Source organism: Homo sapiens, chromosome 13 (assembly GCF_000001405.40).
Source record: "Homo sapiens chromosome 13, GRCh38.p14 Primary Assembly".
Lineage (NCBI taxonomy): Eukaryota > Metazoa > Chordata > Mammalia > Primates > Hominidae > Homo > Homo sapiens.
In genome coordinates, this window is record NC_000013.11 from 98,871,229 (window position 1) to 98,892,260 (window position 21,032).

General features: G+C 42.2%; 1 protein-coding gene across 43 annotated transcripts in view, besides 1 other annotated feature; it reads right to left on the bottom strand.

Annotated features, from left to right (window-relative positions):
* DOCK9 (dedicator of cytokinesis 9) overlaps nucleotides 1–21,032 on the bottom strand; it is a 295,191-nt gene that overhangs the window by 77,800 nt on the left and 196,359 nt on the right. For all 43 annotated transcript variants that reach the window (XM_047430231.1, XM_005254035.4, XM_006719937.4 and 40 more), the window contains exons 16-27: nucleotides 17,404–17,483; nucleotides 17,132–17,319; nucleotides 16,930–16,995; nucleotides 15,304–15,396; nucleotides 14,480–14,603; nucleotides 13,743–13,864; nucleotides 12,585–12,671; nucleotides 11,814–11,903; nucleotides 10,664–10,779; nucleotides 10,330–10,399; nucleotides 9,319–9,444; nucleotides 8,670–8,741 (exon numbers count right to left, since the gene is read on the bottom strand). In XM_047430231.1, coding sequence (XP_047286187.1) covers nucleotides 8,670–8,741; nucleotides 9,319–9,444; nucleotides 10,330–10,399; nucleotides 10,664–10,779; nucleotides 11,814–11,903; nucleotides 12,585–12,671; nucleotides 13,743–13,864; nucleotides 14,480–14,603; nucleotides 15,304–15,396; nucleotides 16,930–16,995; nucleotides 17,132–17,319; nucleotides 17,404–17,483 — 1,234 coding nt within the window. The remainder of the gene's footprint in view (nucleotides 1–8,669; nucleotides 8,742–9,318; nucleotides 9,445–10,329; nucleotides 10,400–10,663; nucleotides 10,780–11,813; nucleotides 11,904–12,584; nucleotides 12,672–13,742; nucleotides 13,865–14,479; nucleotides 14,604–15,303; nucleotides 15,397–16,929; nucleotides 16,996–17,131; nucleotides 17,320–17,403; nucleotides 17,484–21,032) is intronic.
* Nucleotides 4,246–4,305: an enhancer, noted in NCBI's record as "active region_7923". NCBI's record gives its function as "activates an Ori minimal core promoter by ATAC-STARR-seq in GM12878 lymphoblastoid cells {active_cell/tissue: GM12878}" and the evidence as "EXISTENCE:reporter gene assay evidence [ECO:0000049][PMID:35858748]".

A 21,032-nucleotide genomic window follows, 5' to 3' on the forward strand; every position in this document is an offset into this window, starting at 1 on the left:
AAAATGTGAGGGTGGGTATGTATCAAGCAAGGGCAGTAGAACATTGACAAGTGGGGAGGCTAATCCCTCTACTTCTGCACTTATTAGAAAATATAGTAAAATGTTTGTATTAAAAAGAAAGAATACATGGAGAAGAATGATGGATAATTTACATACCAACCCATCATTAGTGCTGTTCAGTGACTAGGCAATGACAACTCATGCCTGTGAAGGCTGAAATGAAGTTCTCCCTGCAGTGGCAAATAGCTGTTGTTAAGAGTCCTAATTGTCAATAAAACAAACTAAAGTCTTTTTACGAGGTATCATACACATTTCAAGGTAATGAAGACCTAAGCAATAGAATGTTTTTATGGAGATTACTATAAACTGAAACAGAAGAGGAAAATCTAAGATGATGCTCAGGTAGTGAGTACCTGATAGAGGCTTGGAGAAGAGGACGCTGAGACACTAAGGGACTTCTCAGCCAAACCAACCTCAACTCCCTGCCACGTCCTGCTGGAGGATCTCTTGCCGTGTGCTGCGCTGCACTGCAGCATCCCTTTCTGTCCTGGCACCACCTGACAGGTGCTGCCTGTGTGGGGTCAGCCAGCCCAGCACCTGTCCTCACAAGATCAGCCTCTCTAGCCACATGCGGGATGCCATGCCCCCATCCTCTGCGAGCCACACTTATGTGCTGCCCGCTGGCTGCTCAGCGCCTACCAACTGACTCCTCGAATGAACGGGATCTCCCTGAAGACCCACACTCAGCCTGGCTGTGGAGGCCCCTGTGGACGCTGCGGTTAACAGCCAGGTCTTCGTAGAGACCCAGGATGGGCTACTCCCCGCCCTACAGGTCATCTGCTCTCCCACAGCTGTGCTGCCCAATCATTGCTTCATGGGTGAGGACTTCGGAATGGTCTTCAAATGTTCACTTCTTTGTTCTGCACTGTGTTCTTCCACTCTCTGGTGTGGTTTAGAGGCCTCTTCTCTATGGGCTATTTTACTGCTTTCCGACGTAAATAAGACTTTTAATTAAGAAACTTTCTCTTTGTGGCTTAGCAAACAACAAAAGTAATGGGGCTGAGAAGAAATTTACCAATGACATTTCCCTGCATTCTGGTTACTCCCCTTTATCAAGATCCCTATGTTATTTCCTCTTTCTCCTATTTTCTTCTACAACTTGGTTTTGTTTTTGTTTTTGTTTTTTGTTTTTTTTTGAGACAAGGTCTCACTCTGTCGCCCAGGCTGGAGTGCACTGGCACAATCACAGCTCACTGTAGCCTCATCCTCCAGGGCTCAAGCAATCGTCTCACCTCAGTCTCCTGAGTAGCCGGGATAACAGGCATGTGTCACCATGCCCAGCTAATTTTGTTCACATTTGCAGAGATGACGTCTCACTATGTTGCTCAGGCTGGTCTGGAATTCCTGGGCTCAAGCGATTCTCCTACCTAGGCCTCCAAAGTGCTGGGATTACAGATGTGAACCATTGCGCCCAGCCTACAAACTCCATTCTTCCTACCTCTTCATCATTTTCATTCCCAAAGATCAGTCTTCTCTCTATAATCTGCATGTTTACCTCACTCTCTGCCCTGCTGACACAATGAGAATGGCACCTCACATCTTCAGTTGCAGGGAACATAATTAACTCCTGGCCCCACCACTATGCTGTGGAATCTACAGCTGCATTTGTACCAAGGCCACCCGTGCCTCCATGCCTCACATGGCTGCTCCCTGCCAGTGACTGAGGGTGGAAAGGAAGCTGCAGCAGGCTTGTTGCTGGGGGATGTGGGACTCCACTGATGACTGAGGAGGAGGCTTGAGGCCTCTCCAATGCCTTGCTCACCTCTCTTACTTAGAATTCCACTGTGGCCCAAGACGCTTCCTTCCTTCTCTCTCTTCTTAACCTTGGGTCACACATGTGCTGCCCTCTGATGGCTCTCCCACTGTCTCCTGAGCGCCTTCCCATTTTCCCTTGTAGTCATTGCCCCAATAAGTCTCAAGCATGACTACTCCTATCTGTTGACTCAGATCAACACAGTCCTTTTCCCCAGAGAAAAGCTTAGGCTTATGGTTTCAGCAGATTGGTACTCACAAATCTATTTCTTTAGTTCTGTCTGTTCGCTTCCCTGTCCCAGGCTGAACCTTCACCTGCCAACTGGAAATGTGTTTGGCTATGCCTCAGCCCTTTGTGAAACAATGGCTGGTGACTTCCCAGTATCTGTTCTCTCTTCCCTCTCATGGTAATAGAACCTCAACTTTTAACTAGGTTCATGGATACCCAAAGTAAAGACTACATTTACCAGCATCCCTTGCAGCTAGGTACCGTCATGGCTAACTCTGGCCAATGCGATAGCAGTGGTAGTGATGTGGCAGTGCAACTTCTGGGTCATATCCTTAAAAGGAAAGGTGCATCTTCCCCTCCCTACTGGCTCCAGCATGGATGTGGTGGTGAACCCAGTTAGATCAAAAGGAGGAGCAGCACTCCAGGGGGCAAACAAGATGGAGGCCTCTCATAACTGTGGAACAGAAGCCTCTTATGAGCTTGGGGTTTCAAGTAAAAAGAAATAAACTTTTACTTTCCTGTTTAACTCACTGTTACTTCAGGTCTCTGTCATAGCCACTGAACCCACAGCCCTAAGCATATGACATCCCAAGGCTAACCTTGCACCTTCCCTGGTAAACCAAGCCCTCTACTCTACTGCCTCTCTCAAAAGCTCCTTCTTCTATGATCTCACGCTCAATATCTAGGTGGCCTTTCTTCCCCCACTCAAGTCTGACCTTACTGTGCTCTGTTTTGTTTCAGTCAGGTTTATTGAGGCATAATTTACATACCATAAAATTCAGACTTTAAAAGTCTACAGTTTGGTGAGTCTTGACAAGTGAATATAACTGTAACCATCACCACAGTCAAGAAGAGAAAGTACATCTGTTGTCCCCATCCCCACCTCCAGTCCTGGGCAACCACGGGGCTGCTCTGCGCTCTGTAGTTTTTCTTTTTCTATAATGTCATATACAGGATATGGACCCAAATGGTATGTAGTCTTTTGTGTCTAACTTCTTTCAGTTCATAGAATGCTTTTGAGATCCAACCATGCTGTTGCATGACTCACTACTTTGTTCCATTTTATTACTAAGTAGCATTCTATTGTGTGGAGTTACCACAATTTGTGTATCCATTTACCAGCTGATGGTCATTTGGGTTGTTTCTAGTTTTTGATTATTATGAATAAAGCTACTGTGCACATTTGCATTTAGGTCTTTACATGGATACATCTTTCATTTCTCTTCAGCAGATATCTAGACGTGGAACTGCAGGGTTGAATGAATGGTTCTGTCTGAATAATCTCCCTTACTCATTCATAATGCTCTCCATCCTCATCCTCAATCCCACCTTATCCTCCCAATGCCAGATCTTCATCAGCATCACCATAAAATGTCATTTCATATTATTGCAGTTAGAGAGCTAAACAAATAAATAAATCAAAATTTAAAATGTCTGGTGAATCTGTTCCACAGGCTATTTATACTTCAGGGGATAAGCAGACTTATTGATATAAAAGTTTCCAAGCCACTCTGCTAATCTTTATACTCTCTGTCATCTCGCCACTCCTACTAAAGAACCTACTGTACCTCTCTAGGTCTCTACCAGTTCATCTGCTGCTTGGCTTCACAGCTCCCCATAATCTCATCTTTGTTTCTGAGCTAATCTTGTTTTTCACTCTTTCCCCTCTAATCTCAATCTATCCAGCCTGAACTCTGCCCCAGCGGCCTTACCTGGGCCTGAGCTATTTCCTCTGCCTGGTACTCATTCTCCTATCCCTAGATTGTGGTATCCTGCAAGGCCCAGGTAAAGTTCCAACTGTATCCCCACATAAATCTATGATTCTTGAAGCTCACATATGCACCTTCCTGCACACTGCTCTAAATGTTCCAAGCTGAACGTTTTCTTTCTCCAGTGACTAGGTGAGCTTCAAGGTTAAGGGTTCACTCTCAACTCCATTTGCATTTTTCCTCAATGCTTTGCACATTACAAACAACTGTTCAAAACACTTGAGGGTGAATGCATACTAGCATACTGGTAGAATGCATACTAGCATTCTACCTATCACATATGTATAGTGTTTACAAATTTGGTTAAGGGGAAGTCCAAACAGTCCATTCAGACTATGAGCCACACCCTCCTTCTTTCACTTTCAAAAACAGTTCTTTTCTTTTTCAATTTAGCTAGAAAATGGTTGGAGGTTAAACAAGCAATGTCTAAGGGCATATATTCATCCTACCCTATGCTAGGTTTTCCAACCTCCTTTCTTCCAGTATACCTGTGGAATGCCAGCAATGTGCTTCACTCCATGTGGGAGGAAAGGAAATGCAAAAGCAGTCTGCTGAAATTACAGCTGCTAAATATACATGGTGGAAAAGAAACACCAACAAACTGTTGACCATAGGGGCAGAGAGTGAGGAGAGGACTCCTCCACAGACCTTGATGATGTCTGCTTTACATTTTTCTCAAATATCACTTGTACCCTCCAAGTACATGTCACCTATGAAACTAGAGTCTGGCACAGTCATACACAATCCATCCATACTTTGCAGGTCCATCCGCTGTAGTAAGGAAATTACTTATTTTAGATGCTAGTTCGAAGGGGTTCTGATTCACACCCTTCCTCAGTAAATGTAACAATGTACAGTTTGGTTGGCTGGGGACAAGAACATGGCCACTTCCACCTTCAGCAGGAGTGCAGCACTGGAAGTAAGCATAACGCTGTGCCATGTCCCTCCATGTAAATATGCATTGAATGGACTCACTCGACTACCACCAAGAATGACATAAATTGTACACTGAAAGCATCAGCTTAATACACAACATGCATGTGTAGCTATCCTTGAGTAGAACACTTTAATTGGCACTGAAAGCACTATCTGGCTGTTATGAATCCAGGGCCCAGGTGCTCCTACAACACTGGTGTGTGCCTCGTCATGACACTTCAAGAAAGGTTCCCTTGGCTGGGCGCGGTGGCTCACGCCTGTAATCCCAGCACTTTAGGAGGCCAAGGTGGGTGGGTCACCTGAGGTCAGGAGTTCGAGACCAGCCTGGCCAACATGGTGAAACCCTGTCTCTATTAAAAATATAAAATTAGCTGGGCGTGGTAGCGCATGACTGTAATCTCAGCTACTTGGGAGGCTAAAGCAGGAGAATCGCTTGAACCCAGGAGGTGGAGGTCGCAGTGAGCCCAGATTGCGTCACAGCACTCCAGCCTGGGCAACAAGAGCAAAAAATATTAAGGTCAGAATAAATTAATAATTTTGGTCTAAAAATATTAAAAACCCTAAGGGGATGAGATCAAAGTTTTGGAAATCACAAATGGTACAGGAATGGTGAATATTCATAAATTCAGAAGACTAAAACAAAGAATTAGGACATAAAATTCTTCAGATGTAAATAAGACAAACACAAAAACAACTAATTCAAACAGAAAACTCATTACTCTTAAGATACGAGACACACTGAATGAAGGCTTTAAGAAAATGTTAGAGGAGCTCTCAGCTCAATAATGTGTGATTAGGGCAAAGAACAGCAGGGTGTCTGCAGGGCCAGGGAAGCAGAAGCCAGAGAGGAGTGCTCTAAAAGTGAAAATGTTGAACCCTCAAGGTGGTAAGCAGGTGTTTGTGAATCTCTTTTTATAGTAAATTATGTTATGGTTAAGCTTTCTCCTGTGGGATACCAGAGTTTCCACTTAAGCACTTAAAAAACAAAAAACTACTTCTAAAAACTCTCTGAATATTGTTTTAGGGTCAAAATATAATTAACTTACAGAAAAGGTTGTGCATGGTAGCATTTGAGTGGTTTGTGTTAAGTTCCAAAAACAAACCATTTCCCAGAGCAAAGGTGTTGACAAATCATGTTATAAGGCTGGAAATGGCAGCACCTCTAGGAGAGGCCCACTGGGACTCTGCCACAAGTTCTTGGCTCTGCTCAGTTGTGTGACCCTGGGCAGGTCACTTCACAGTCTATGCTTCTGTCTCTACCTCTGTGAGGTAAGGGAGGAGCTGGAACAGAAGATACCTTTCAGGTCATTACCACCCTTAAAGTGCTATGGTTTAATTTGGCATCTTGAGAACAAACACATGCAAGTAAATTCCTTTACTTATTTTCTAATGCAATTCTCAGAAAGGTGTCACTGGCGCTTGATTTTGAATATCCTTGTATGTATTCCTGGAAGTGTTCGTTACCTCCCTGACCATCTTTCACGTGGTCTTCCTTGCAGTCATAAGGCAGAAAAGCCTTATGTTCATGTAGTTCCCTGAACTGTGGTGCTGGGTCCTAAGCTTTCCGCCAAAACCACTCTCTCTCCACCTGGTCCTCATTCTCCTTCTTCACCTAGCCAACTCCTGTTTACTCATCAGAACCCACTGCAACTGATGCCTCTTCCAGGTGGTCTTCCCAGATTCCCCACACTACTGAGCACTTTGTTCCTACCTCTTCAGAGCACTCGTCATGAGGTAGGGCAGCCACTGAACGAAATGCACACCTTCCCACCTGAACTCCTTGAGGGCAAAAACTGTGATGCATTGAACTTTGTAATCCTTGGCACCTCAAACATAGTAGGGGCTCAATGAATAGTTGCAGAATGAATTGGTTATATTTTGAATATAATCACGTTACCATTGCATTTAAGGGATGACGTTTATTTAGAGCCAAAAATAATAAAAAATCCACTGGCGCCTCGTCATGGGCTGACCTGTGCCCCCCTCGAATTCATATGTTGAAGTCCTAACCCCTAACACTTCCGAATATGGCTGCACTTTGGGCCAAGGTTTTAAAAGAGCTGATGAAGGTAATGTGAAGTCATTAAGGTGGTTCTTAATCCAGTATGACTGGTGTCCTCCTAAGAAGAGATTAGGACACAGACGCGCACAGAAGGCTGCATCTACAAGCCAAGGAGAGAGGCCTCAGAAGAAACCAGCCATGTGCACAGCTTGACCCAGGACTTTCAGCATCTCAATTGTTATAAAATAAATTTCTATTTTTTAAGCCACCCAGTCTGTGGTACTTTATTATGGCAACCCTAGCAAATGAACACAGGCTATAATCCTATTCTGTATATAACATGAAAAAATGTATAATTTACCATCTTTACCAGTTTTAAGTGTACAGTTCAGTGGTAATAAACACATTCATATTCTTTTTCTCCCCCATCACCTCCTCCCCTTCTTTCCCAGTCTCTGGTAACCACCAATCTATCTTCATCCAATCCACTTTTTTAGCTCCCACATATCAGTAAGACAACATTTTTTTTTACAGAAAAGTAATATATCTACATGATGTGTGTGTCTGCGTGTGCATGTGCACGCACACTTAGCTGCATACTGCCAAGCAGACAATCTGCTAGATTTTTCCTTGGCAGGCTGCTCTGGCATGATTTAGATGGAGCATTTCTCTGTAGAAGGCAGGGCCCACTTCCATCTGGCATCTCCCTATGCACTAAAATCAGAAGCTCTAAACTGGATTCAAAAGAGAGAGACAGAAAAAAGAAAAGGAGAAACCACCTGGCCAGGCCCAGTGTCTGCTTTACGGGAGGAAAAGGAGGGCTTTAGGCCTGAACCATCAACCTTCTGCCAGCAAAATCTAGCAGGCTTTTCCAAGGCTTCCTCGGAGAGCCCAGATCCCTTGTGCAGGAGGCCTAGATTCTGCCCCTCCCTCCCTATCCCCTCTCCTGCCTACAAGGATTGCAGCACAAGTGTTCATTGTGAGACAGGACCCAGCACCACCCGCTCCCTGCACAAGCTCCTTCTATAATACTTCAACCAGACCCTGCCTCCAAACAACTACACTACTTCACTGTCACAAGGACAACTCCAGGACTCTGCAGGTCTCAGAGGAGCCCTGGAAACTTCAAAATGAGAAAGTGACACTGCCACTTCTGTTTACTACATTGGAACTTTATAGAAACTTATCTACCTTGAGCCTCAGAGAGCCTGAGGTGGCCAAACACACCTCAGTGGGCACCAGTCCAGAGACAAGACCAGTCATCTCAGGGCTGAGTGCAGTGGGAACCAGGGGAAGCAGGGGGGACCCACGGTCAGAAAGGAACACACATCCAGGCTTCACCACAAGGGGATGCTGGGGCAGAGAAGAAATTTGAGACTGCGCATCTGCCCCAACGAGATGGATAATCTCAGAGTCTGTTGATTGCTTTTGGAGAACATGAGATTGGTGAGATACTCCCATCTAAGAATAAATGTCTATGACGGTCAAGACACTTAATAAATCATGGGTAATGACACTTAGAATTTATGCTGAAACCACAATTTCCATTTCAACAAACGTGAAGATTTCTAAGCTAATCAAAGGAAAAGACATATTTTTCTTTAGGTTAATAACCAAGTGATTCAGGAATACAACCTTTGGGGCCAGACTGGACTCAAAACCTGGCTGCTCCACTCACTGGTAGCATGACCTTGAGCAAGTAACTCAAGCATGCTGGCCTCAGTTTCCCCATCTATAAAATAGGTAAGAACAGTACTTTCCTCAAAGCGTTGTTATGAAGCTAAAATGATTTATTACTTGTAAAGCACTTAGAACAGTCCTGTAACTGGCACAGAGAAAGCATGAAGAAACGTTCACTACAAAGCAATGAAAGAGATTTCTTTTCCCCTAAGAACACAAGCTTCCACTTGAAGTAACATACCTTAACTTTGGAGTTCTCTATCAAATGCTGAGCCATAGATTTGATCAGTACATCAAAGAAAAACCATGAGTACTAAAAGAAAAAAGAACAGGACCCAGTAAGAACACAACAAACTGGTAGGTAAGACATGAACTCTCTCAGGCTGACAATATTATTGACATAAAGCAGGTGTGACCCTAAAACACGGCTGCACCTCTTGGCACATTATGATCAGAGCCAACGGTGAATGGCAGATGTCTTCTGCTTGCACAAGTTTAGCAACAAAGAGCTGCATCCTGCCGGGAAACTGGACACCTGTGCTCAGCGTGGCACAACCAGCACGAGGCTCTGTGGGGTTACGGGTGTAGTCTTTCCCCTTCACTGCCCTCTGCTTGGTGACACTTGTCTTTAGAATCTCTAAGTCATAGACCTTCATCACTGATTTGAACATAATGACTATTAATCCTCAAGAGCCAACACTGAACACAGTGGTGTTTTGCAGCTCTTCTCTCAAGACACAATTAGAAAAGTTGGTATCAGAGAACACTACCCCTTTTTAGGGAGTGGTGTTTGTCTCTAAGAGCACTCAGAAAGGCTGTATTGATCAGGCTGTGGAGTGAATTCCTGTTAATCAGTTTCAATCAGAGCCACACTGACTCTCCTGACATACCTTCAGTAGTTTGTTGCTGGTGAGGAAATCGGCAGAAGGCTTGAGAATCGTGGTCATGGATTTGGTCAGTTCTTCATGCACTGTCTTGTATTCAGAGGCAACATATGGCTCAGCCTTATACGCGTACTTTGAAGAAAAGAGAAAGAGACTTTAATGCACTGGCTCTCCAATGTGGGCTGAAAGCTTGAGAGACTCCCAAGAATGGAGATCAGGGACTGAGCTACAATATCATTTGTGGGAGAGGAAGGTGTGGATACAAAGATGGGAAGGGTGAGTGTCATGTGATAAAAAGGAGTCCAGGATGTCTTCAAGAAAATATGTGAGTCATCTGACCCGGTCAAATCAGTGACCAGCCAGCCCGTAACTCCACCTGTGCCAGGGGCTTCAAGGAATGTGTGGCACAACAATGTATGACTGATACCCTAAAGGACCAGAACTTTACTTTTTAAATTATCACATAGTTGTAATTTACAAAGGTATTTAATAGTAAACAGAATATGTGCATCTGTTTAGAATAGTAACTGCCACTCTACTTACTGGATGTTGTATATAAATAAATAACTTGTTGATGTTTATCCTAACAACATCTCTTGCTGTCCCACAGAGTCATCTAATTTGACTGTAGCCAGAGCTAACCTTCCTATCTGGGAGGAGCAGTTTTGCTGGAAAGTTTAGATGGAAAGAAAAAAAAAAAGGAAGACAACTAACGTTAGCAGAGGCCTAGCCAAGAACAACTTAAAATTCTTCTTTAAACTTCCACATTGAGTCATATTATTTGGAAAACCCATTAAAAGAAACATAATTGAAGGAATGGAATTAAGTAAATTAGTGAATGGCTGTCCCTCTTCGTACCTCCCCTATTCAGGTACAAGCATTGGCTATGAGAAATAGAAGAGAAAGCATACGTTACAAGCACATCCTCAAATAACCAGGCTTGTGAAAAAATAAGTCCTTAGAAGGAAAACTGGAGAGCCACAGATGTAAGTGATCAGAACAGTGTGTTTTACATACCTTAACATATGACCTCAAGTGGCTCTCCAATCCTTCCTCATGGCACTGGGCAACCACATGAATAATGACCCTACACACCACAGGAGTGAATAAAGCAAAGAATATGTAAAAATGGAAACATTTCATTATTATCACAGCAGTAGTAGAACAATGATGATGCTATCAGCACTTAGGAAACAAGGAGACAAGGAATTAGATGGGGTCCTTACACATGGGATCAAAGACATTTCTTAAATGTAATGTTCAGCACACAGTAGCATCCCAGCTATGCATGACTATGCTCCAGATGTGGACAGACTAGAAGTGAGGAAGAGCATCCATCCACCTCCCTTACCGAGTCACGTTAACCGCGACTTCTTCCTGTGTGGCTCTGGTGAGGACTCGGAACAGCTGGTTTAGGATAGTGGGCAAGAAGGCGATCATCACGTGGCCTTCCATCGCATGCAGACTCTACGGACACAGAATGGCACAGTTCATGTTATCCTTCTAAAAGTAAACCAGCCTAAAGTAACTTCCACTCTTCCAAACAAGGATGGAAGAACTCCCTCTAAAACAAAGGGAAGGCTGTGGTGGGCAGAATGTCCCCAGAGGCGTCTGTGTCTTAGTCCTCAGCACATGTGAATACATCACATGGCCCAGGGGAGGTAAGGCTGCTAGTCAGGCCTTATGATAGGGATTATCCAGGTGTGCCCATGGAATCGCAAAGGGCCATAAACCAGAAGAGGGAGACAGAAGGGGAGAGGAGTCAGAGGGAGCTGGGACAGAGGAAGCAGGGTCAGAGAGATGCTGTGTGGCTGTCTTTGAGATGGAGGGAGGGGCCGCAAGCAATCACATATAAAAACTTCATTGTTTATGTGGATATGTATTCCATTTTCCTTGTTAAACCAAACAAATTTCTATTCCATTTCTCACATTTCTTGTTTTGTCCCCATGCCCTTTTAGCTATTTCCCCTTTCCAAAATGCTCCCCACAGCCACGTTCTGGATGAAGCTCTCCTAGACAAACCCTGCCTGGCTCTTGCTGCTTAGACACGCCAGGAACCCCTTGCACAAAGCTGGGACTGGTTCTGTGCATTATTTCTTTATTTGATTTGTCTGCCTAGCATGCAGTCACCAAGTTTATAGTATCTCCTACAATGAACTAGAAGTTCCCTAAGGGTGAGGACCGAAGTCTCTGCTTCTGTGCCCATCACTGTGCTCGGTACCCAGGGAGGTCCGTCTCAAGTGAGGGGTTTTCCATGCGTGAGAAACAGTATGTTTTAGAGATCCTGCCTTGAGCAAAGGATACATGGGACTAGGACACAGGCAGGAGTAGTGCCGTTCCTAGGTCCACTTCTTACCACTATCTAAACCTCATAGAAGCTACTGATGTGAGACATCCAGGTAAGAGCTTCCAAGGGGTGAGAACACCACTCACCACCAAAGAGAAAACCCAACCTACTCCAAACTCACTTAAAAGGGGATACTAAGAAAGCCATGTGATACCTTAAGGTACTTTACAAGTTCGTTTCCTAAGGCTTGGGCTCCAGATTCGGTTTTCTGACAGTACTGGAAAAAATTATGTAAATGCTGATCCTGAGGTAGGGAAAAAGGAAAAGAAGAAGAAAGTCTATTAGAATACACGCTGTGGAAATAGAAGCATTTGTTTCTTGCAGCATGCTTTTTTGCTGTATGTTGTTGTTGTTGTTGTTGTTGTTGCTGTTTTTTTTGAGACAGAGTCTTGCTCTGTCGCCCTGGCTGGGGTGCAGTGACATGACCATGGCTCACTGCGGCCTTGACCTCCCAGCCTCTTGCAATCCCCCTACCCTAGCCTCCTAGGTAGCTGGGACTACAGGCACACATCACCATGCCTGGATAATTTTTGTATTTTTGTAGAGACAAGGTTTTGCCATGTTGGCCAGGCTGGTCTCAAACCCCTGGGCTAAAGTGATCTGCCCACCTTGGCCTCCAAAATGCTAGGATTACAGGTGTGAGCCACCACACCCAGCCTCATCTTATTAAGACTAAAAATTGATCGTGTACAAATAACATCAAGAAGATCCTCCAATGAAAGGGGAAATCTGTTGCAAAATGATGCTTGTACTAGTCATTTATATGAATACATATAAGCACTTCAGTTGTACTTTCTTTCTTTAGAAAAAGATCTATAGAGTAAAAATATAGTAATATAACACATTAGGATTTTTTTCTTCTTGCAAAATGGTGCAAACTTTGTCACAGGGCAGCAACTGCTAATTTTGTTGAAGGAGCACATACCTGAGTATACACTGTAGAAACCAGATGAGTGGAAATTTTCAGCAGTGGCTTGCCTCCATCTACCCATTTAATTTCCGGACCATAATGCTAAAAAAAATATGGAAGAAACAATATCCCTACAGATTAGTTATTTTGGCTCTAACATGATCATCAATGAGGGTAATGATGAGGGACTGAAAGAGGGCCCAGAGAACTTTAGTGACTTGGCGACTGTGCCGGGCCCATGGCAGGAATGCAGCTGATACACATTTCTGCCCCCTTTCTTCCCCCAAAGTACAGTGCTTTTATTACTGGATTTTCTAAGTTATCTTTTCTGTTTCTTTGCAGCTGTGTGAGTTATTGTTCATTTGAGAGGGAAAGAATCCTATTACACCAGCATCTGAACCCAACTTGAGCTCAGGATTCTGAAGAAGCCAGTAAAAGGTGCCAGATAAAGCAAACAGCATAATATGCAGGCCTGGCACAGGCAAAGGGTCAATCGTCTGCTCACACTAATTTCAACTTTTGAAACCTCCATTTCTCTGTCATGCTCAATTATACAATTTATTCTTCTTTGGGAAAATTTAACTATTTGTCTATAATATGAACTTAAATTTGGCATCATTTAAATGCAGACAAACATAAAAAGAACAGGCTTTATTTAAGCATGTTATAAAGCCGCAGTCTATAAAATTTAAGATGGCTAAAAAGAATGCAAAACCAACAAAGCAATTAAAGAAATCTGGGGAAAATTAGGCTTTCAAGAATCAGAAAGGTTTCAGAATGTGCAACCCTGTGGGTGAGAGATTTGGCGTACTTGACTTACTTTAAGCTGGAGGAAAATTCCTAATAGTTTGCATGACCCTAAGAACTCATCTTTATTTGAGCATGGCCAGTCGGCAGAGACAGACCTTATCCCAGATTTCCAAGTCTCTATTTTTCCGCTGAGACACCACTAGTTCAGGGCTTACAAAATGCCCAAACTGTAATTCTGACATTGAGGTAACTGCTAACAGCACTGTCTTCAATTGGCCAAAGTTTACTTGAAAATGAATAACTAATATCAAAATGGTGGAAGAGCAAAAATACTGTTTGCTTTTTGTGTGTTATTGTTGTTTTAGTTGTTCTTTAATGTTTTCTGAAGAAATTGGGATGACCCAATCTTAAAATGGGACATACCCTGCCCATCCCAAGCTCCTGGTAGCCAAGATAGCCCGAAGGAAGGTTCGCCGAGACCGGGATGTGCTGCTCGCTTGTCACCACCCTTCCGTCTTTCAGGAGGGGAAGCCAGGAGTAGCCAACTGTTGAAAACAAAGAACAACAACAACAACAGAACACTGTGAGTGTATGAAAACTTATGAAAGCAAGCCAATGTAAAACCGTCTGATTTTTAAGAACTTTTCCTATCAATTAGAGTAAGAAATTTAAAATGCCCTAAATGTAATCTCTGCAGAACATTGTCTACAATGTACTTAGGCCTTTTCGGGGTTAGAATTCTACAATCTTCTTTTATAAAAATGTACATATGCAGGCTGGGCATGGTGGCTCACACCTGTAATCCCAGCATTTTGGGAGGCAGAGGTGGGCAGACTGCTTGAGCTCACGAGTTCGAGACCAGCCTGGGCAACATGGCGAAATCCCGTCTCTACAAAAAAATACAAAAATTAGCCAGTGGGTGTGGTGCGTGCCTGTAGTCCCAGCTATTCAGGAGGCTGAGGTGGAAGGACAGCTTGAGCTCAAAAATTAAAAAAAAAAAAAAAAATTACATATGCAACCCAGACATGCTACATATCCGTTACCTATAAAATTCATTTAAAGATCCCTTTGCAAAAAGATGGAAATTCAGAATCTTAATACAATTTAAGAACCTAATGTTTCAATTATTTAAAATCAAAGGAATGGTAAGCCCCCCCAACCTTGGGTTTCAACGACATCCCTCTTCTTCGTGCTTCCTTTACTTGAGTTGTCACAGCTGACATGGAAGAATGTGAGCAACAGGTGGTGCTTTTCATGCAGCTGAGTGGGCAACTCTATTTTAATCTGCAAGGGAAGACAAAATAACAACAAAATATTCTAAAAACACAGAAACTCTCAGTGGAAGCAGAGACAGTATGTGTTACCCAACGCATAAACGTGCACTTGTTCTCCGAGCGGATATTAACATTTGCACTCAAAGATACTGAGACTATAAATTGTGCCAAGCAAGAAATGAATCCTGAATTCACCACTCAGAAACAGGAAGAGAGTTGATGGTATTTCTAGGAAGAACTGGAAAACACAGGACAGTAACTGCTACGCTAAGTTACCACAGCCAAGGCATTATGAAGAACCAGGATAGAACATTCCCAAGTAGCATGCATACAGTGGTTTCAATGAATTACATTATATTTTATGTAAGCAAACCCAATGATAAGAAAGAAAGATTCTCAGGTCCAACAAATGTAACTAAAGTATGAATTTGATAGGAAATATACCAGAATATTAATTGTGGTAGTGATAGTGGGATTATGACTTTTTCTTTTCTGTATTATCTGCATTATCCAAATTTCTATTTCTTTTAATAATGAAAATGTTACATTTACAATCAGAATATATAAAAGAAATACTTCAACATGCAGTTCTAGCTCTGTAATTTCAGTGTAATATGCAGCTTCTCTTGAATTTTCCTTTACCAGGCAAATACATTAAAGTTTCCCTTAAAACTGGTCAAATTCGGTTTTCCCTTAAAAACATCACTTACCTCATCATAAAATTCTGGGTTTTGGTGATGGTGTAAAACTGCAGCAAAGGCGCTTCTTGTGAAAACTGGCCCACCAGGTCTGCCATAAATGCACTAAAATAAGAGTTACCAAAGGGAAACATCACGGTTCGATTAAGTAAGAAATTAAACTTGGATATATCGTAAAGGAGGAGGCATTCCTACGGCATAGACTTAGCATCGCCACCTCTGATGGGCCCCAGGCCTGTGAGCCCCGGACTGCTGGGTCCTGCCCACCTTCCAGCTTGCCTTGAAGCCCATCTGCCTGCTCCCCTTCCTGCCCTTCCAGGTCACAGCCCTGGATGATGCCTTGCTCACTGTTCCCTTTCACATTTCCATGCCTTTTCTTATGCAATTCTTCTGTCCAAATAACCTTCGCTTCTGCATGCATCAAGAAAACGCTCAAGCATTCTTCAAGAAATTGTCAACTCCTTCCATGTGTCCCCTCAGCATTTTTCTGTATTAATTTTCAGTTTTGTCCAAAACTTCATTTCATACCATCTGTCCACCAAGATCTTTTTCTCCACGACTGTTTTTCCCACTTGACTGAATTTCTTGAGGACAGATACTATATTTTATATATATATATATATATTTTTTTTTTTTTTTTTTTTTTTTGCATCTTTGTCTCCTTCTCCTCTTAGGAAGTCACTTTAACATAGTCACAGTAAAACAATTTGGGTTATGGAGCTAGACTGCCCGGGTTTGAATCTTGGTTCCACTAATGTTTTACCTTAGGCAAAAAATTCTGCACTACTCCCCTCACCTAAAACATATGGATAATAGGCCGGGTGGGGTGGCTCACGCCTGTAATCCCAGCATTTTGGGAGGCCAAGGTGGGCAGATCACACGGTCAGGAGATCGAGACCATCCTGGCTAACATGGTGAAACCCCGTCTCTACTAAAAATACAAAAAATTAGCGGGGTGTGGTGGCAGGCTCCTGTAGTCCCAGCTACTCGGGAGGCTGAGGCAGGAGAATGGCATGAACCTGGGAGGCAGTGCTTGCAGTGAGCCGAGATCACACCACTGCACTCCAGCCTGGGCGACAGAGCGAGACTCCATCTCAAAAAAAAAAAAAAAAAAAAAAAAAAGGATAATAATAATACTTAACTCAAAAGACTACTGAGAACCAAAAGAGTTAAACACACACTAGAGCAGTGCCTGGAGTACAAACAGCTTTCAATAAAAGTTACCTATAATCTACTGCTATTATTATTACTATACTGTAGTAAACATTTAATAAAATTATCAATTGTTGATCAGTTATTATTATTTCTATGATCAACATTATTCATATCCTAATTCTTAGCACCCACAGTATGAGCACTTGGCTCATAGGTGAACAGTAAGTGTTTGCTGAATTGAGTGTGTATAAGAAACTCTGATCCTTAAAAAGAATAAAAAACAGTCAATTAGGAGCCAGAACCTAAATATTCCATATTCGATAAGATTGAGTATATATGTTTATACATTGTAACATTATATATTTTTGATTTGTGTCAATTAAAATGTGCTAAACTGTTGTAGTTGTACGGTATCATGAAAGTGCATTTTGAAAATGGAAAAATCAGAATTCGTAGGTGAACATATATTAAAAAAAAACAAACCTTAAGGGGCTGAGAGTCTTCCTCATCTGAATCTTTGAATTCAATGCAAATCGCAATATTTCTAGCCTGCAGCAATAAACAAAACAGAATAAGAAAAAACAACAGAAAGTCAGACTATGTAAGTATTTATAAAAGAACATGGGACGCTGAATCTAAAGGGAGGGTTTGACATCAAGAATGAAACCTCCATCTTCACACTCACCTTGGCAAAAGACTTCTGACTGTCGTATTTCAAGTACTTAGGATAAACGTAAAGGTGATTGGTGTAGATGGTGTAAGGCTGAGTGTGTTTTGGTATGCAGGGCACAAATTCCTCCACTTCAAACGTGATGGGAGTTTTACTGCAGGTTTCAAATTGTTTTGTGGGAATGTATGATGAATTAACATAATCTGCAAAGATATTCAAAATAACTCAAACTGAAGTAAAACCCAAACTAATAAAAATTCTGTCTATTATGTAGAACTGACACTTACTAGGGAAGTCTGAGGAAACATTATCAATTGTAATGTCTAGATTGCCTAAAATCACTGGGAGCTTAGCCATCTTCTCAGGTCTGCAAACAAAAGAAGAGAAAAATTAAACATTCGTAAGTTAACTCTAAAACCGACACTCTAGAGCAGCACTTCCAAGAGAAATATAAAGCAAGCCATAAAGACAATTTTAAACATTCTAGTAGCCTCATGAAAAACAGCAAACAGGAACTGGTAACATTAATTTTAATAATATACTTCACTCAACCCAATAGGTCCAAAATATTACCATGTCAGTATTTAATCAGTATAAAAAATGTGTACTCTAAGTCTTTAAAACCAGATATGTATTACTGGTTTTATACTTAAAGCACATCTCAATTCAGACGTCCTGTATTTCACAGGACAGCCACACATGGCTAGTGGCTGCGCACTACACAGTACAGGTCTAGATAAAGAATATCAGCAAAACAGTTACAGCTCAAGTGTTCCTGAATCACTCCAGCCTCACCATAAATATTTGGCTCATTTAGAATCATCACCATTTGGGGGAGCTAAGCTATGAGGATGCAAAGGCAGTAGAATGATACAATGAACTTTGGCGACTTGTGGGAAAGGGTGGGAGTGGGGTGAGGGAAAAAAGACTACACATTGGGTACAGTGTACACTGCTCGGGTGATGGGTGCACCAAAATCACAGAAATCACCACTAAAGAACTTATTCATGTAAGCAAACACCACCTGTTCTCCAAAAACCTATTGAAATAAAAAATAAAATAAAACATACAATCATCACCATCAGGAACTAGAAATCATCTTAGGCTCCAGTGTCCAGCACAATGCTGGGTTCAGAGTCGAAGCTCACTGAAATTGTTGTATTAATATTTGTTCTGACTCAATCCAATATAGGAATCCCCTGTGACACTCCTGACAAGTGCTGCTACTGCCTCACCCTTCCTAGTGACAATGAGACTTCTGATTCAGCGGTTTTGACACTAGTCTGCTCTTGCTCATAGCATAGTGAAATTCACCTCCCTGAAACTTCTACTCACCAAGGGGTCTAGCGATGTTCCTCTATCTTTCAACCACCTATACTACACATTCTGAAGCCCTCTATTCTCAGCACTTTTGCACCTGCCCCAATGTCATTCTCTCCCAGAAGAACCTGCCATTTATATTACAGAGCCTGGAACTGCATACATCTGGCCAGTGTGGGTGCACAGCTGGGTGCACAGCCTCTGTCTGGTTTTCAACAATATACCTGTCTATTAACACAGCCTCAAAGCTATTACTTTTAGGTAGCCATACCATCCTAGTGACTCACAGGAAATTTACAGTCACCTAAAATTCCTACATCTTTTTTCACATGCTTATTTCTTTGTCCTTTATTTATATAATTATATTTTTGGACCTCAGAAGAGAATTTAATTTTTGTCTTGCTGAAATTTCATCGTATTGTGTTTGAGCTATTTCTAGTTTATCAAAGTCCTCCTAGATCCAGATTTTACCACCTACTGCATTAGATATTCCTAATAGCTTTATGTCATAAAAATATTTAATCAGCATGTTATAGTCTCATAAAAGTCATTGATAAAGATACTGCACAGTATATTGCCAAGAACAGGCTCCTTCCCAAGTCTCTGGAGGCCCATTTCCAGACTGACACTAGCTCATTCATCACCCTCCCTAGCATCTGGTTTTTCCAGCAGTTGAACAACTGCCCACTCACGTGTGCAGCGCTTCTTTGACTCATTCACAGGCTACCACAGCACCCACACGTGGTAAATACATTCTGCTGAAGCCTTTGCACTCCTCTACTACACAAGCTTAGCGGCGCAGTTACAAAGAGAGAAGAAATGCAGTTAGGATGACTAGTTCAACACGATATGACTTAGTCTTAGGAAACACAATGCCGCCTCACAGTCCTTCCTACGCCACCTGTTTCAGATCTCCTTTAGAACATTGCCAAAGATCACCAAAGCACAGGGACTGGCAGATTCAGCATTTGGTTTTGTTCCCATTTTTGAAAAGTTCCTACCTACAATTTTGCAGATTCTTTGGACATGACTGCTGACTATTAAGCAGCCTCACGTGTCACTCCTCAGTACATCTTGGAATATTTGTCACCTGAATTAGGACTTCCCTAAAATTTCTAAATTCCTGCATCCTTAAGACTAGAGACGATGTTGAGAAGATCCATCGTGGCCCATCGCCAGCTCTAAGCTGCTAAATCTCTTTCTCTCAGGGTCCCTCCCTCTCATTTCCACTTGTCTTCTGTTTACATCTGAGTTTAAATGAACAGTTCCTGAAAGAGGTAATGGTCAGGAAGGCAAGTCAATGATTTTTCACATGTTCCGCCTTCCGTTGAAAAGATGTCTGGCCAAGAGCTCTCCAGGTACAGCCAAGCACTCCCCTACAGTTTGCCCCTGTGCCTGCGGTGTGAGCTGCTTCACACACACAAGATCCTTTCCTGTTGGTGGGAGGAGGGGCAGCAGCCTCCCCTCAAGGGTCAGTCATTTCCTGAGAGCTTTTGACCCAGCATCTCCCAAGCTCTGGGCACTCCTACGATGATAGCTTGTGGAGCCTCTCTCAGCTTCACATAGAACTCTTCAGGGGCATCAACCTTCAGACAGGGGGTTTTATGAAGGTATCAATTTTCTTGACATACGGTGCCTTGCTCACCTCTTCAGTGGAGGAATTCAACACCACAACATATCACAAGACACTGCACTCCACAAAATTGTAGAGACACCTATGAAGTTGTATCTGCTTTGAGTTAGAAATACTCTGTTTATTACAAATTATACTTTTAAATATAAGTAAGTATGCAAGGGTAATGGATTTCACCCCCTCCTAATTATTTCCACCTATGAATGAACAGGCATCTTCATCACCATTTTTAAGATCACTCCAACATCCTCCACATATAAATTTTTGAGAGAGGTGGAACACAATTAAAATACGTTTCTAAGCAACATATTTTAATTAAATGATCTTCACTGGAAATCTTCCTATAGTGTATTGTGTCCTTCTGTGCCTAACTATAGTTATTTCTTATTCTATTTCCTCCCTCTGCTGAGAGATTTTACTTCTAGTTGCTGCTTCTGTAAAGACGTTCTTTCCATGTGTTTCCAAGCACATTTCTGAGTTTAGTTCCATATTATGTAGCACATGGGCTTTTAAAAGTTGTTTTTTTTTTTGCCAGCTTTAAGTTTTTAAAAACCCAATCTCAAACCCATTTCAAAAGTTTATGGTTTATGTTGAATCTGGTTTATTAGACATCAAACACTCACAGGCAATAAAGATTTTACTGCCTTTTTATGCACTTCCAAAGTGGTGGTTGTGTGCGTGTTACACAAACTGAATTCTTTCATGACTGAGAATAGTTTTGGTTTTTTTGCTTTGTTTTGCTAAAGAGTACCTATATTCTATGCAAAATTTATAAAATAATCCTTGAACATGAAAACTCATCTTAAAATTACACGAATTAAGTAAGCATGCAATACAGACACTTGCAGGATGCCTGGCCTCTGGGAACTGCTCCTGTCTCTGTGTGAATGTAGAAGTGAGGCTCAAACTCTCTCTTAGGAAAATTTTCCCTTCCCACTGCCCATCCATTTCTGCTGACTCAAC